Raw genomic sequence first — 16,697 nt, 5'->3', positions numbered from 1 at the left:
TATGTTGCTGGTTTATGTATTTACGATACTATACTTTTCATTCTTCTTTTACTTTTGAGATGGAGTTTTGCTCTTGTTGCCCAGGCTGGGGTACAATGGCATGATCTCTGCTCACTGCAAACTCCGCCTCCCAGATTCAAGTGATTCTCCTGCCTCAGCCTCCTGAGTAGCTGGGATTACACGCGCACGCCACCACACCCGGCTAATTTTTGAATTTTTAGTAGAGATGGGGTTTCACCTGTTGGTCAGGCTGGTCTCGAACTCCTGACCTCAGGTGATCGACCCGCCTTGGCCTCCCAAGGTGCTGGGATTACAGGCGTGAGCCACCACACCCGGCCTCTTATTTTTAAAACTCTAACTGTAAAACAGCCTCAGGCAGTTCCTTCCAGAGGGATCTCAGAAGAAGGCACTGTTATCATAGGAGATGACAGCTTCCTGCCTGTCACTGCCCCTGAAGACCTGAAGCAGCTAGGGTCAGCTTCCAGGAGAAAGTGATATTTGATCAAGTGCCATCTAGTGGGACAAGGTGTGAAGATGGAAGACAGTGATAATGATGATCCTGACCCTGTGTAGGCTTAGGCTGACATATATGTTTGTGTCTTCATTTGTAACAACAACAACAAAAAAAAAATTAAGGAAAAAATTAAAAATTTTTTAAAATAGAAAAAAGAATAAGAACATACAGAAAGGAAATATTTTTGGACAATTGTACAATACGGTTGTGTTTTAAGCTTAGTGTTATTTCAAGAGTCAAAAATTAAAAAAATTTAAAAATTTATGAAGTAAAAAGGTGACAATAAGCTAAGGTGAATTCATTATTTCATGTAGCCTAACTGTACAGTGTTTGTAAAGTCTACAGTAGTGTGAAGTCATGTCCTAGGCCTTCACTTCACTCACCAATCACTCACAGTTTCACCCACAGCAATTCAGCCCTGCAAGTTCATTTCATGGTAAGTGCCCTCTACGGGTATACCATGTTTATCTTTTAAACTGTATTTTTACTGTATCTTTGTTATGTTTGGATATGTTTTGACATAAATACCATTGTGTTATAATTGCCTACAGTATTCGGTACAGTAATCTGATGTACAAGTTTGTAGCCTAGGAGCAACAGGCTGTACCATTTAGCCTAGGAGGCTGTTCCAGCTAGGGTTGTGCAAGCACACTCAATGATGTTCACACAACAAAACTGCCTACCGATGCATTTCTCAAAAGGTTTTCCTATAGTTAAGGAACTCATGAGTGTATTTTCCAGGGAACTATGCTCCAGAAATGCATACATCCCAGGTCATTTGAAGTGAGAAAATATTGATAGATATTGATAGAAAAAGGGCAACTGGAACAGGCAAATGTTCTGGATCCCACTCAATGTCCCATCTCCTGCTGCCTCCTGTGGCTTCAGTGTCAGGGCACGAGGGTCAAGGGTTGTTGCTCCAAAGAGTTGTGTCCTGGGGATGGCTCTGACTCCCCTGAACAATCTATTAACAATTAAATAATTGTTTAGAGTTTTCCAAAATTGCATATGATTCCACTTTCTGGACAAGACCATATTATGTGTGTTGTCACAATAGGGACATTGGAAACAGTGAAAAAGCAAGTGTGGCGCCAGGCATGACCTTATGTTTGGGTCAACCCCAAATCTTGCAGAGTTCTGATTTGGAAATGTCCTCACGCCATCAGACAATAAAATTCTTTTTTTTTTTTTTTTTTTTTGTGAGATGGAGTCTCACTTTGTCACCCAGGCTGGAGTGCAGTGGTGCGATCTTGGCTCACTGCAAGCTCTGCCTCCCGGGTTCACGCCATTCTCCTGCCTCAGCCTCCCGAGTAGCTGGGACTACAGGCGCCCACCACCATGCCCGGCTAATTTTTTGTATTTTTAGCAGAGACGGGGTTTCACCATGTTAGCCAGGATGGTCTCGATCTCCTGACCTCATGATGCACCCACCTCAGCCTCCCAAAGTGCTGGGATTACAGGCGTGAGCCACCACGCCCAGCCCAAACAATAAAATTCTTGAAGACAGCACAGTGTCTTGTTTTCTTTTGTATCTTTAACTCTTATCAGTGTTTGGCCTTTAAATTGCAGGATAAACGGAGGAAAAGGACAAAACTTCCCTGGGCTGTAAGTGCACTCCTCTGGCCTCCGTGCCCAGGTCCACAGGCCTTAGGTCACAGAGCAATGTTGAATTCTTAGGATGTGAGCTCAGGGGTGACCCAGCTGAGCCATACGCACTCATGCCTCACTACAAAAAATCTCAAACATGCATATGAAGTACCTCTATGTTGGCTGAGGGGGTCCCTAGCAGGGGTCCAGATAGGAGAATTGGTTAGTGGTGCCTCTAGTTAGGACTATAAGCCAAAGCAGGTGATGGGTCACAGGAGCACATACCCCTGCAAACCTCTGGTCATTCCCACCCAAAGAAAAACCTTTCATTCCCTTTAAAACCATATAAAACCTGGGCAAGGCCTCCCAGTACTTCTCCCTTCCATTTGGCTTGGAATCGCCTCAGAGGAGAAGGAATGTGTAGATTGGTGTGAGAAAGAGAGAAAAGAATGAAATTCCTTTTTCTGCCCCTATGTTCAAAGAGGCACAAGCAGCTAGTCCCTGCGCACATTAAAAAGAAATAAAAAGAGAAACACTCCCATGTGTAAGTTGCTCCTTAGCAATGACGCAGCCATTGCTGGGAATGTCCCTAGCTCTTTCAGACATTGGAGTAACCCTTCAGGAGTGATTGCTTCTCCGCACTAATGTTGCCCCAGTGGCAGCTTCAGAAACTGCTCCCTTACCCAGGGGCTCTTAGGCTAATTGTGTCTCAACTCAAGTTACACACAGGCACATTTAGGGCCAGTCTTGGGTTTTTGTGTAGCTGCCACAAAGGTTTAGATCAAACAAACATGATCCCACCAAATACCTGCCTGGGTCCCAATGGATGCCTCAAGCTAGTCTTCATTTCTATGGCTTCAATGTCAATTCTTCCCAAGTTTAAAGGCCACATTCAAGGGTATCATCGTTAGCCTAAAAGTTTACCCTAAAATTAGCCTATTTTTAATTGTCCTGTCTTCCTTACCTAGAATCATGGAGATGAAAGTGTTCCTAGAAATTGAGCCCCCTCTGCTGGGCGCGGTGGCTCACGCCTGTAATCCCAGCACTCTGGGAGGCCAAGGCGGGCGGATCACGAGGTCAGGAGATCGAGACCATCCTGGCTAACACGGTGAAACCCCGTCTCTACTGAAAATACAAAAAAATTAGCCAGGTGTGGTGGCAGGCGCCTGTAGTCCCAGCTACTCGAGAGGCTGAGGCAGGAGAATGGCGTGAACCCAGGAGGCGGAGGTTGCAGTGAGCTGAGATCGCGCCACTGCACTCCAACCTGGGAGATGGAGCAAGACTCCGTCTCCAAAAAACAAAAGAAATGCGCTCCCTCGTTCTACCCCACCATTATATGAATGAGGACACGGAAGCTCACTCGAAGAGCTAACATGGCTCACCTGGTATCTCAGAATAAATGGGTGGCCAAGCCAGCCACAGGCAGGCCTGTGGCTTCTTATTCCCTCTCCAAGGCTCTTGCTACTGTGAATGCCTTGGCTTCGGTGTAAATAAATTGAATGAGGTATTTCCTAAGAGCAGAGTGAGGGGGATGGCGAGTAAGTGGGTATTGGATTCCTAAAGTAGGCAGAAAGGCACAGAGAAAATGAGTAGACCCAACTCACAAATGTTGCCTGCGGCTAGACCTTTTTACATTTAATATACGATGATAATAATAATAGATCCACTCAGCCACTCTTTTCTTCCGAGGGACCAAATTCACCTGCGCTTTTCAATGGTCAGATAGGAATGATATTCGGGGGCAATGACATTCCATATACATTTTGCCCTTGACGTCCCAGGGTACGCCTTCCTTGAGGGTTATAATTCTTTAGCTGACTTCGAGTCTACTCCTGGTTCTCACACCAATGACTTACACCCAAGAGTGTATATCTATTATAATTGCTACCTAAAGAGAATAAGAATTACAGATAAGTAATTTTCTTTTTCTAATCTAACCCCCTGGAGGCATTTTAGTAGGCGATGACAGGCATTTCTGCTATAATTTATACAATTTCATTTTTCTTAATCATGGATTTTAGTTCTCTTACGTCACCTGCTTGAAATGAAGCAGAACTTTTTGGTCGCTGCTTTTACATTTATAGTCTCACTTGCAAAGTGTTTAAAATGTCCACACAATTATGAGAAATTCAGATTAGCATCTTCTCTGAAATGGCTTTCTCCTAATTGCCTCCAAATCCTCTTAAAACAATTTATAAAGTCTGAATTTAAGTGCTTCGGTGGGACACTGTATTTCGAGTACTTAAGTGAAAAGTTAATAAGTGGACATTTACAGCTATTTGCCTTGGCAGATAAATTGGTGATTAAGAATGTATATCTAAAATCATTTGTATGGTACAACATAAAAGAAAATTTAGGAAATGTTGAGGAGTGGGTTTGGGTAATTCATTTTTGTGGTTCTCATCTTTTTTTTTTTTTTGGTTCTCATATCTAACACAATGCCTGATGCGTGAAAATATGTCAGTAAATTTTGGTGATTTGCGTTTAATGTATTTAAGATGTCATCAAATAATGCAACATTCTGATAACACCTTTCAACCTCCCACCCACTCCTTCAAAGCCAATTCAGTGCAGCCGGTCCTAAGGAATCCAAGTCAAAGCAGTGCTCCCCAGTGCACAGAGTCCAGACGTTCTCATACAACCCAATATCATCTAAGATCCAGAACTGTGGGTGGCAACATCATTGATGGATCATCAGATCTGTCTACGTGGTTATTAAACAAGATTTTGTTGGAATCGAATGCAATAATATAGAATGGAATGAAAATGAACAGAACACATCTCCCACGGTAAGAGAAAGCACTGTTCTGTGAAATTATTTATTTCCCTGTGTACAATGGGCTAGTTTATGCTATAAAATGTATTTCTTCCTTTGATTCAAAACAAGTTTGAAAACCGCTATAGGAGGTTGAATAGAGTCTCCCAAAATGACATGTCCATATTCTAATCCCTGGAACCTATGAATGGGACCTCATGTGGAAAAAGGTTCTCTGTGGATGTGATTAAGATAAGGGTCTCAAGATGACTAGATCATCCTTGATTATATGGGTGAGACCTAAATCCAATGACACATGTCCTTATAAGAGAAAGACAGAGGGAGATATGAGATAGGCTGCAGAGAAGGAAGCAATGTGATCACAGAGGCAGAGACTGGTGTGGTGTGCACACAAGTCAAGGGATACCTGGAGCCACCAGACGCTGGAAGAAGCAAGGAAGGATCCTCCCCTAGAGCCTGTGGAGGGAGTACGGGCATGCAGACTTCTTGATTTCAGACTTCTAGCCTCCAGACCTGTGATAGAATAAACTTCTGCTGTGTTAAGCTACCCAGTTGCTGGTAATTTGCTGCAGCAGCAACAAGAAACAAGAAATATAGTCACTGATCAAAAAAAGACAAAAATTCTAGGTGTTTACAACAACTCCAGAATCAGTCTTATCCCAAACCAGTCTCCACCAAAATCCCAAGGTTACCCAAAACATGAAATTCATTCTAGTCTAAAGTTCACCAAGATTTTTTATAAGTCTTGCCTTTTATGAGAAGCCTAAATATCTGAGGACCCACAATCTGATACAGCTCCAGGAAAGGAAAAAGAACCCCACACACTCACACGCAGTCATCAAAACAAAATAAAGACAATCCTCAGCCTGTTCTCATCTGACAAGGAAATTTTATGCAGCTTAATTTTCTATGAAGCTATTATTTTGTTTAATTTTCCTAGGATAAATTTATAATAATAGCAATGCTTCTTCAAACTCAAAGGATGGACTGAAAAATCACTATTTCAGACTTTTCCCTAGCCACTAGGGCCAGCCGAAAAAGGGAACTTGGCAAGGATGACAAAAGATGGCTCATTTCATAACAATATAATTGTCAATCCTCACTATATTCTTTCCCAGATTGACAAAAAGGAGTGTTATGTCTAGAGATGTAGGTATATTATACATGAGCCTTTAGCAACTGTAAGCTATCCAAGCTGCATGGAATATAATTCAAGCCTGATAAAGGGGAATTATAGGTACTTATAACAAATCTATTGTAGTCTTCGTATCAGCTGTAATTAGTGTTACGAATTACCAACTACCAACCATAGCTTAAAGCAATTGACTTTGTTTTTCCTCCAGCTTTACATGAGGACCTTTGTTCATGTCATTTGAAGTAAGCAACATCTACGTGAAAAACACAAGAGGCAAGACATCCCAAATTTTGTTCACTCAGTCATCATCTTTCCATTTTAATGTGAATTACTCTTTACACTAGTACTAGAACACCTAGTACAATGCTTTGCACATAAGTCACTCAATAAGTACACTGAACCTAAATGAATTATGTACTTTGAGAAGGCAGTAAAAACTAGATGTTTGGTTTAACTATCAAGTGGGAAAAAATAGAAGTGGACATATGAATAATTGTGACAAAAACCAACAACTAGCTCATTGCATTTCTGACCAGTGTGCCCTTTTCCCCTTACATTTAAAGGGAAGGGAAGGGTAGGGGAGGGGAGGGAAGGGGTAAGGAGGGAAAGATTAAAGGAAGAAAAGGAAAAAAGACAGATCAAGACAACCAAGATTTTCAAACTTCATGTGCCCCCACTAATAATAAACTGGTTGAATTTCAAACCTCTCATCAACCATAATCCCTTCAATCCCCAGCAAGCCACAGCAAATAGAAATCCACTGGACTCTTTCAGGCCTTGCAAAGACAAACCACTGTTCATCAAAGATATGTTGACATTGATGAATTGCTCACCTCATACTCATGACACTGTCTGTGAAAGTGATTTGTGTACATTAGGGTGCACATTAGGATAACACAGGAAGCCCTCAGGAGTGAACCAAGACAGAGAAGAGAATGGATGGCTGGTGACAGGAAGCTCCAAGAGTGGGTCAGAATGGGGTAATCACAGTGGCATCTGGAGTCCAGAGGGAGGCTACCTGCACAGGTGGCAGAATTCGGTGCAGCCTTTTCTAAAATTAATATTCCTTTGCCTTTCTGGGCAAATAGACTACTACAAAATTACGGAAACAACCCTATATTTGAACATGCCGCTGATTAGCTCTACCCTTGAACAGGTGACTTAACTTCTTTCAGCCCCAATTTTTCCCTTCAGTGAAATTATGATAGCAACAAGCTTCAGGTTGGTGATTATTCGTTACTTAACGTCCGTTAGTGCGCTGGGCACAGTAATTGATAAGATACTGTGTCCGGAATTGGTGGGTTCTTGGTCTTGGCTGACTTCAAGAATGAAACCACAGCCCCTCGCAGTGAGTGTTACAGCTCTTAAGGTGGCGCGTCTGGGGTTTGGTCCCTCTGATGTTCGGATATGTTCGCAGTTTCTTCCTTCTGGTGAGTTCATAGTCTGGCTGGCTCAGGACTAAAGCTGCAGACCTTCAGACCTTCGCTGTGCGTGTTACGGTTTTTTTTTTTTTTTTTTTTTTTTTTTTTTGAGACGGAGTCTCGCTCTGTCGCCCAGGCCGGACTGCGGACTGCAGTGGCGCAATCTCGGCTCACTGCAAGCTCCGCCTCCTGGGTTCACGCCATTCTCCTGCCTCAGCCTCCCGAGTAGCTGGGACTGCAGGCGCCCGCCACCGCGCCCGGCTAATTTTTTGTATTTTTAGTAGAGACGGGGTTTCACCTTGTTAGCCAGGATGGTCTCGATCTCCTGACCTCATGATCCACCCGCCTCGGCCTCCCAAAGTGCTGGGATTACAGGCGTGAGCCACCGCGCCCGGCCGTGTCATGGTTCTTAAGGCGGCGCGTCTACAGTTGTTTGTTCCTCCCAGGGGGCTGTGATCTCGCTGGCTTCAAGAGTAAAGCTGCAGACCTTCACGGTGAGTATGACAGCTCATAAAAGCAGTGGGGACCCAAAAGTGAAAGAACAAAGCTGCCACAGTGCAGAAGTAGATCCCAGCGGCTTGCCAGTGCCGGCTCGGCAGCCTGCTTTTATTCTCTTATCTGGCCCCACCCACGTCCTGCTGATTGGTAGAGCCGAGTGGTCTGTTTTGACAGGGCGCTGATTGGTGCGTTTACAATCCCTGAGCTAGACACAAAGGTTCTCCACATCCCCACCAGATTAGTTAGATACAGAGTATGGACACAAAGGTTCTCCAAGGCCCCACCAGAGTAGCTAGATACAGACTGTCCATTGGTGCATTCACAAACCCTAAGCTAGACACAGGGTGCTGATTGGTGTGTTTACAAACCTTGAGCTGGATACAGAGTGCCGATTGAGCTGGATACAGAGTGCCGATTGGTGTATTTACAATCCCTGAGCTAGACATAAAGGTTCTCCAAGGCCCCACCAGATTCAGGAACCCAGCTGGCTTCACCCAGTGGATCTGGCACCGGGGCTGCAGGTGGAGCTGCCTGCCAGTCCCGCGCCGTGCACCCGCACTCCTCAGCCCTTGGGTGGTCGATGGGACTGGGTGCCGTGGAGCAGGGGGTGGCACTAGTCGGGGAGGCTCAAGCCGCACAGGAGCCCATGGAGGGTGTGGGAGGCTCAGGCATGGCGGGCTGCAGGTCCTGGGCTCTGCCCCGCGGGAAGGCAGCTAAGGCCGAGTGAGAAATTGAGTGCAGCGCCGGCGGGCTGGCACTGCTGGGGGACCCAGTACACCCTCCACAGCCACTGGCCCGGGTGCTAAGCCCCTCATTGCCCGGGGCCGGCAGGGCCGGCTGCTCCGAGTGCGGGACCCGCCAAGCCCACGCCCACCCGGAACTCCAGCTGGCCCGCAAGCGCCGTGCGCAGTCCCGGTTCCCGCTCGCGCCTCTCCCTCCACACCTCCCTGCAAGCTGAGGGAGCCGGCTCCGGTCTTGGCCAGCCCAGAAAGGGGCTCCCAGGATGCAGCGGTGGGCTGAAGGGCTCCTCAAGTGCCGCCAAAGTGGGAGCCCAGGCAGAAGAGGCACCGAGAGCGAGCGACGGCTGTGAGGACTGCCAGCACGCTGTCACCTCTCAATACCGCACTCAATAAAATTTTACAATTTTGTAAGTGTAATCCTGTACTCAGCTGCCCAGGGATCACTGTAGCCTAGTAGCATCTAGAAAAAGGTGTATTACTAAGTTAAGTTTCCTTCAAACACAAATTAGTACGTTTCTTCAGTGAGGATAAAACTGAAAAACCAGGTTTCCTCCAGCCCAGCCTTCAGGCTCCACCAGCTTTATAAACAAGGACCCCTAACACTGCCTCTCAACTGCTCAAAACCTCAGAGGGGCCAGGCGCGGTGGCTCACGCCTGTAATCCCAGCACTTTGGGAGGCCGAGGCAGGCGAATCACCTGAGGTCAGGAGTTTGAGACCAGCCTGGCCAACATGGTGAAACCCCGTCTCGACTAAAATACAAAAATTAGCCAGGCATGATGGCATGTGCCTGTAGTCACAGCCACTCAGGAGGCAGAGGTGAAACAATCGCTTGAACCTGGAAGGTGGAGGTTGCAGTGAGCCGAGATTGCGCCATTGCACTCCAGCCTGGGCAACAGAGCAAGACTTCGTCTCAAAAAATAAAAAAATTAAAAAAAAAAAAACCCTCAGAGGTTCAGAGGCTTCTCACCTTCCATTTCATTGGGATTTCATTCAAGGCAGTGCAGTAGACCAGAAAGAGCTTGTACTTAAGAGTCGGTGGCTCACGCCTGTAATCCCAGCCTTTGGGAGGCTGAGGTCAGGAGATCGAGACCATCCTGGCTAACATGGTAAAACCCCGTCTCTACTAAAAATACAAAAAATTAGCCAGGCGTGGTGGCCGGTGCCTGTAGTCCCAGCTACTCGGGAGGCTGAGGCAGGAGAATGGCGTGAACCCGGGAGGCGGAGGTTGCAGTGAGTCGAGATCGTGCCACTGCACTCCAGCCTGGGCGACGAGCGAGACTCTGTCTCAAAAAAAAAAAAAAAGCGTCAGTCAAAACTAGCTTTAAATGCTAGTCCTGCCACTTGGGAAGAGGCAATCTCCAGCAAGTCCTTTAACTTCTCTACACCTCAGTTTCCCCAACTGCAGAAAAGCAACAATAACACTTTACAAAAAGGAAATAACAAAAGGGAGAAATAAACTTATTTGGGGACAGTAGTTTTAGGGGTTGAAAACTATGACATTCTCACAAGCAACTCTCAATACATGCTGCAAAGTAGGCACTCAATAAATTCAAACGTTTTCTTTCTTTTCTAGCCTTATTCCAAACCTCACATCATTTTATCCTGTGTCCCACCTCAAACCAAGGGCTCCCTTTCAAAGCCTGCACCATGGCACCTTGGCAGCACTCGCTCTGTGCATTCTGCCTGGAGTGCTGTTCTCCATCCCTAAATATCTGAATCCTACCCAGTCTTTGAGACAAGTTAAACAGCACCATTCCCACAAAGCCACCCTTCTGCCCAGCAAAAACAATACTCCTCTTTCTGAGCTTCCTAACCTTTGTCTTTGAGCTTCTTGCAACTCTTCACTTTGTGTTTGCAGTCATCACAGCTCTAAGGCCTATATCCCCCCAAAAGCAAATTTTCTAAGGGTGCAGTCTCCATTTATACCTTCTTTCAGAATCAGTGCCTTACAGGCCTGGTGCATCTCAAGCACTTGAAAAATATTTTTGAGTAAATAAATCAATAACAAATTATGTGCATTCAAAGAAAATTTTATATGAAATATCTATGCTCAATTAACAAATAAGAAATTTAGGCCAGGCGTGGTGGCTCACGCCTGTAATCCCAGCGCTTTGGGAGGCCAAGGCAGGCAGATCACGAAGTCAAGAGATCCAGACCATCCTGGCCAACATGGTGAAACCCCGTCTCTACTAAAAATACAAAAATTAGCTAGGTGTGGTGGTGCGCACCTGTAGTCCCAGCTACTTGGGAGGCTGAGGCAGGAGAATTATTTGAACCCAGGAAGCGGAGGTTGCAGTGAGCCGAGATTGTGCCACTTCACTCCAGCCTGGCGACAGAGCAAGACTCCGTCTCAAAAAAAAAAAAAAAAAAAATTAGATTAACTCTCCAGACTAAGCCAGAGATTCTCTGTCTTCTTCCATTGTACTATATATGTGTAAATAAAGTAATTTGCATGTGTTTCCCAGCAAGCTTAAGAAGATATCTAATATGGTTTGTTTCTGTGTCCCCACCAACTCTCATGTTGAATTGTAATCCCCAATGCTGGAGATGAGGCCTGGTGAGAGGTGATTGGGGATGGATACATGGGGACATTGGGGACGGATTCCTCATGAATGGTTTAGCTCCATCCCCTTGGTGCTTTCCTCAAAACAGTGAGTTCTCATCATTTAAAAGTGTGTGGCACCTCCCACATCTCTCTCTTGCACTTGTTCTAGTCATGTGACATGTCTGCTCCCCATCCACCTTGCACCATGATTGTAAGTTTCCTGAGGGCTCCCCAGAAGCCAAGTAGATGCCAGCATCATGCTTCCTGTACAGCATGCAGAACTGTGAGCCAATTAAACCTCTTTTCATTATAAATTACCCAGCCTCAGCTATTTCTTTATAGCAGCATGAGAATGGACCAACCCAGTATCCAATACCTGCTTTCAATATTCCAAACATTTTAAGGCCCTTCATTTTCTGTAAAAAGCAAATGAATTTAATTGTGCTACTTTCTAGCATTGACAGCTTTGGGGCTTTGTGTAACAGAAATCAAAGCAATTAGTTATTTCATTAATTTGATGGTGGAAAATTTATCAAAAATATCACCTGTCTTTGTGTACACTAGTGAATTGACTGAAGTTTTTTCTCTTTTAATTTGTTTAGGGTCATATAAATGACACATCAAACATAACTAAATAATCCAGCTTCCTGAAAATGCATCTCTATAAATCCTCTAAAATTTGTTTAGTTTTTAAAAAATCTTTAGCACTTTAAAAAAGCTAATTAGCCAGGCACAGTGGCTTAAACTTGTAATCCCAGCACTTTAGAAGGCCAAGGCAGGTGTGTCACTTGAGCTCAGGAATTCAAGACCAGTCTGGGCAACATGGCAAAACCCTATCTCTACAAAAAATTACAAAAATTAGTCGTGCATGGTGGCATGAGGCTGTAGCCCCAGCTACCTGGGAGGCTGAGGTGAGAGGATTGCTTGAGCCCAGGAGGCGGAGGTTGCAGTGAGCCAAGATCATGCCACTGCACTCCAGCCTGGGCAACAGAGCCAGACTTCATCTCAAAAACAAACAAACAAACAAACAAATAATCAAAAAGTGAACTCCTTACTAAGGACAATGCAAAGAATAAGCTAAGTTATGTGTAAGGTCAATGATGCCTCATGCTTGCACACTGCCTTAATATATTTTCTCTTTGCCATGCAAAGAGTCTGTGTCTTGGGAAACAGAAACTAAACCTAATGCATTGTTACTCTGGCTGCCACTTTGTTCAGGATTTAGAGACAGCCCATTGATAGACAATCACACAACTGTGAGGTTTTTCACAGATATATTATGATTTATGTATCCTGCATAAGGGAAGAATGTTACATTCTGATGATGAAGACACTACCTGCCTGAAATCTAACCCTGTCTTGTTCTCTAACCTGTAACAAAACCTTGCACCTGTCTTTTGAAATTCAGGGCACAATATTTTCTCCATTGTATAAGAATATTTTGAAAGCTGATTTTTTAAAATATAGAGCATTTTGAAAGAAAGTGATCTTTATACTGATAAACCTCTGAGACATTTAATGGCCAATATCAGTTTATCAATTCTGCTCTCCATGACGTTAAAATGCACCCTAACCTCTTCTTCATTGATATAAGCGTTTTCTACTAAACAAATTTGATGACAATGTAGCAGGTTACCCAACATGACAGACCACAGGATTAAACTACACACCTATCAGCAAAATTTTAAAACAAAAAAAATAAAAACTAGAAGCTGACTAAAATAACTAAATTGAAAATTCACTAGAGAAGTTCAAAAGCAGACCTGACCAGGCATAATAAAGAATCACCAAGCTTGAAGACAAATCACTTGAAATTGCTGAGTCTGAGAAACAGAAAGAAAAAAGAATGAAGAAAGGGAACAGAGCCAAAAGGACTTATGGGACACCATCAAGAGGACGAGTATGAAAGTTCAGAAGGAGAAAAGAGAGAGAGAAAAGCAGAAATCATTTGGAGAAGCGATGGCTAGAAACTTCCCAAATTTGAGAAAAGACATGTAGTTACAAAGAATCTCTGCAAATTCCAAGTAGGATAAACCCAAAAAGACCCACACTCAGATACATTATAATCAAACTTTAGATACTAAAGAGAAAGAGACAGTCTTGAAAGCAGCAAAAGAAAAGTGATTGATCACATATAAGAGGCCCTCAATAAAATTATTGGTGGATTTCTCAAGAGTAACCTTGCAAGCCAGAAGGTAGTGGTGCAATATATTTAAAGTGCCGGGGGGGGGAATCATCAACTAAAAATTCTATATTTGGCAAAGCTGTCCTCCAAAAGTGAGGGAAAAACCAAGACATGTTAAGATAAACAAAAAGCTGAGGTCATTCATTACCACTAGACCTGCCCTACAAGAAATGCCAAAGGGAATCCTTCAAATTGAAATGAAAGGATGCTAGACAGTAAATCAAAGCCATCTGAAAATATAAAATTCTCCGGTAAAAGTAAATACATGAAGTAAATACATATAAGAAACAGTATGATTTTAATTTTGGCTGTAATTTCACTTTTTATTTTCTATAGGATTTAGAAACAAATTCATAAAAATAATTGTAAATGATAATGGGTACATAATACATAAAGATGTAATTGATGACATTGATAAGATAAAGTTGATGAACTGAACTATAAGAGAATAGAGATTTTATATACAATTGAAGTTAAGTTGGTTTTAATTTAAAATACATTGTTATAACTTTAGAATGTTACAAGTAGTCTTCATGGTAACCACACATAAAATATCTATAGAATATACACAAAAGAGGCAGGGTATGATGGCTTATGCCTGTAATCCCAGCACTTTGGGAGGCTGAGACGGGTGGATTATGAGGTGAGGAGTTCAAGACCAGCCTAGCCAAGATGTTGAAACCCTGTCTCTACTAAAAATATAAAAATTAGCCGGGCATGGTGGCAGGTGCATGTAATCCCAGCTACTCAGGAGACTGAGGCAGGAGAATCGCTTGAATCCAGGCAGCAGAGGTTGCGAGCTGAGATCACACCACTGCACTCCAGCCTGTGCTACAGAGTGAGACTCCATTTCAAAAATAAATAAATAAATAAAATAAAAAAAAATTTAAAAACAATATACACAAAAGAAAATGAGAAGGGAATGAAAATGAGTCATTACAAAAAACACTAAGGAAGGCAGGAAATGAGGGGGAAAAAAGCTATTAGACATGCGGAAAACAATTACTAAAGTGGCAAATGTAAGTCCTTTCATGTGAGTAATTACTTTAAATGTAAATGGATTAAAATCCTCAATCAAAAGACATAAATTAACAGAATGGAGTAAATAAAAAAAAAAAAAACAGGACTCAACTATCAACTCCCTATAGGAGACTCACTTTAGATCTAAAGACATGTACAGGTTAAAAGTAAAAAGATGAAAAAGACATTCCATACAAATAGTAACCAAGAAAGATCAGGAGTGGCTATACTGGGATCAGAACAATATTGACTTTTAGTCAAACACTGTTACAAGAGACAATGAAGGACATCATATAATGATAAAGAGTGATTTCACCAAAATACATAACTATTATAAACATGTATGCACCAAACATCAGAACTCCAAAATATATGAATGAAATATTGGCAGCTTAAAGGAAGAAATAGATCTACAATAACAGTAGGAGACTTTGCTACCCTACTTTCAATAATAAATACACCAGTCAGATAGAAAATCAGTAAGGAAATACAAACATTTAAAGGCGCTGAAAATATTTTACCTCAAAATATGCCGTTTGTATTTTGAGAAGGCTATACACAGGGACTGCAAACACAAGAACAGCCTGCAAAGCTGTCTACTGAGGGGAAAGGTTACATCTGTAGAGGAAATAAAATGAAGTAAATAACAGATGCAAATAAGCTTTCTCTGAGACACTCCCCCCTTATCCAGATCTAGAAAAGATTAACTGAGAGTTTTAAACCTTTAAAGGTATTTGCTAACTGATAAGCAAATACCAAGGCTACCATTCATTCTTTCTGAGTGCTGATCCCTGTGACGTTTCATCTCCTTAATAAGATTACCTTTGCCCCATGCCTTTCGTCCTCTTTTCTCCCTCCCATAACCTGGCTTGGCACCATAACCTGTTTTGCCATCTTCCTCCAAGCCCCCATTCTTTCCGTAACCTCAAGAAGGTTTAAAAGCATCAACCATCTGGTCATTTCTTTGAGGTTTTCCTATTTTGTATGACTTCCATGCCCAAATGCACATTAATATATTTGTATGCTTTTTTCTGTTACTCTATTATCAGTTTGTTTTAAAGGCTCAAGTTAACCCTTCATAGGAAAATTTTAAACTTCCCTTAACTTGAATAACACTATGCACCAACTAGACCTAAAATATACAGAGCACTCCACCCCACACAGCAAAATACACATTTTTCTCAGGTGCACATGGGGAATTCTTCAGGATACACCATGGGCTAGAGCATAAATATGTCTTAATAAATTATAAAAGATTGAAATCAAACAAACTATCTTTTCCAATACAATACGATGACACTACAAATCAACAGCAGAAGGAAAACTGAAAAATTCACAAATCTGTGGAAATTAAACAACATACTCTTAAACAAGCAATGAGTCAAAGAATAAATCACAAGTGAAATTAGAAAATATCTTGAAATAAATAAAAATGAAAACACAACATATCAAAATTGATGAGCTAGGGCAAAAGCAATAATAAGAGGGAAGTTATAGCTATAAATGCTTACACTAAAAAAGAAGATCTCAAATCAACAATCTCATTAAACCCAAAGCCTACATTACCAAGTAAATAATAAAGATTAGAGCAGAGATAAATAAAATAGGGGACAGAAAAACAATAGAGATAATCAACAAAACCAAGAGTTTGTTCTTTGAAAAGATCAACAAAATTGACAAAGATTTAGCTATATTGGCTAAAAGTAAGAGAGAAGTATCAAATAACTAAAATAAGAAACAGAAAAGGAGACATTAATTCAATTTTACAGAAATAAAAAGAATTATAAGTGTACTATAAATAATTGTATACCAACAAACTGGAAAACCTAGATGAAGTGGAAAAATTTCTAGAAACACAGTCCCTCTCCCCGACTACAAATCTCATTGCACTGGTCCCGATACTTATTGTGATGGTCCTGAATGAAGTGTTTTTTACCAGGCTTTAGCAAGTATCATTAAATATTTTTTTATTTAACAAGGCAAAAAACATATACACTAAAAATATAAAACGTTGATGAAAAATAAAAGAAAGTATAAATAAGTGAAAAGACAACCTATATTATGGAAGTCATATTTTAAGATGTCTATACTATTCAAAGCAACTTATAAATTTAATACAATCTCTGTCAAAATCCCAATGATGTTTTATGCAAAAACAGAAATTTGCGTTTTAAAATTCATATGGAATCTCAAGAAAGCTTGAATGACAGTCAAAGCAGTCTTTAAAAGGAAGAACAAAATTGGAAGTCTCACACTTCCTGATTTCAAAGCCTAC

The 16,697-nt window shown here is 42.0% G+C and overlaps 1 long non-coding RNA gene across 4 annotated transcripts in view; it reads right to left on the bottom strand.

The window, feature by feature from the left end:
- Positions 1-15,023, bottom strand: part of LOC105374910 (uncharacterized) — a 102,802-nt gene extending 87,779 nt beyond the window's left edge. For 2 of the 4 annotated variants that reach the window (XR_001743950.2, XR_926441.3), the window contains exons 1-2: positions 14,944-15,023; positions 5,284-5,390 (exon numbers count right to left, since the gene is read on the bottom strand). This is a non-coding gene — a long non-coding RNA (uncharacterized LOC105374910). The remainder of the gene's footprint in view (positions 1-5,283; positions 5,391-14,943) is intronic. The other 2 variants (XR_926440.3, XR_926443.3) reach the window with 1 other exon arrangement.
- Between the last annotated feature and the right edge of the window lie 1,674 nt (positions 15,024-16,697).

The sequence above is a fragment of the Homo sapiens genome, chromosome 6 (assembly GCF_000001405.40).
Source record: "Homo sapiens chromosome 6, GRCh38.p14 Primary Assembly".
Classification (NCBI taxonomy): Eukaryota; Metazoa; Chordata; class Mammalia; order Primates; family Hominidae; genus Homo; species Homo sapiens.
Note: the sequence above shows the minus strand (reverse complement) of the source record. Positions and strands in the feature narration are given on the sequence as shown.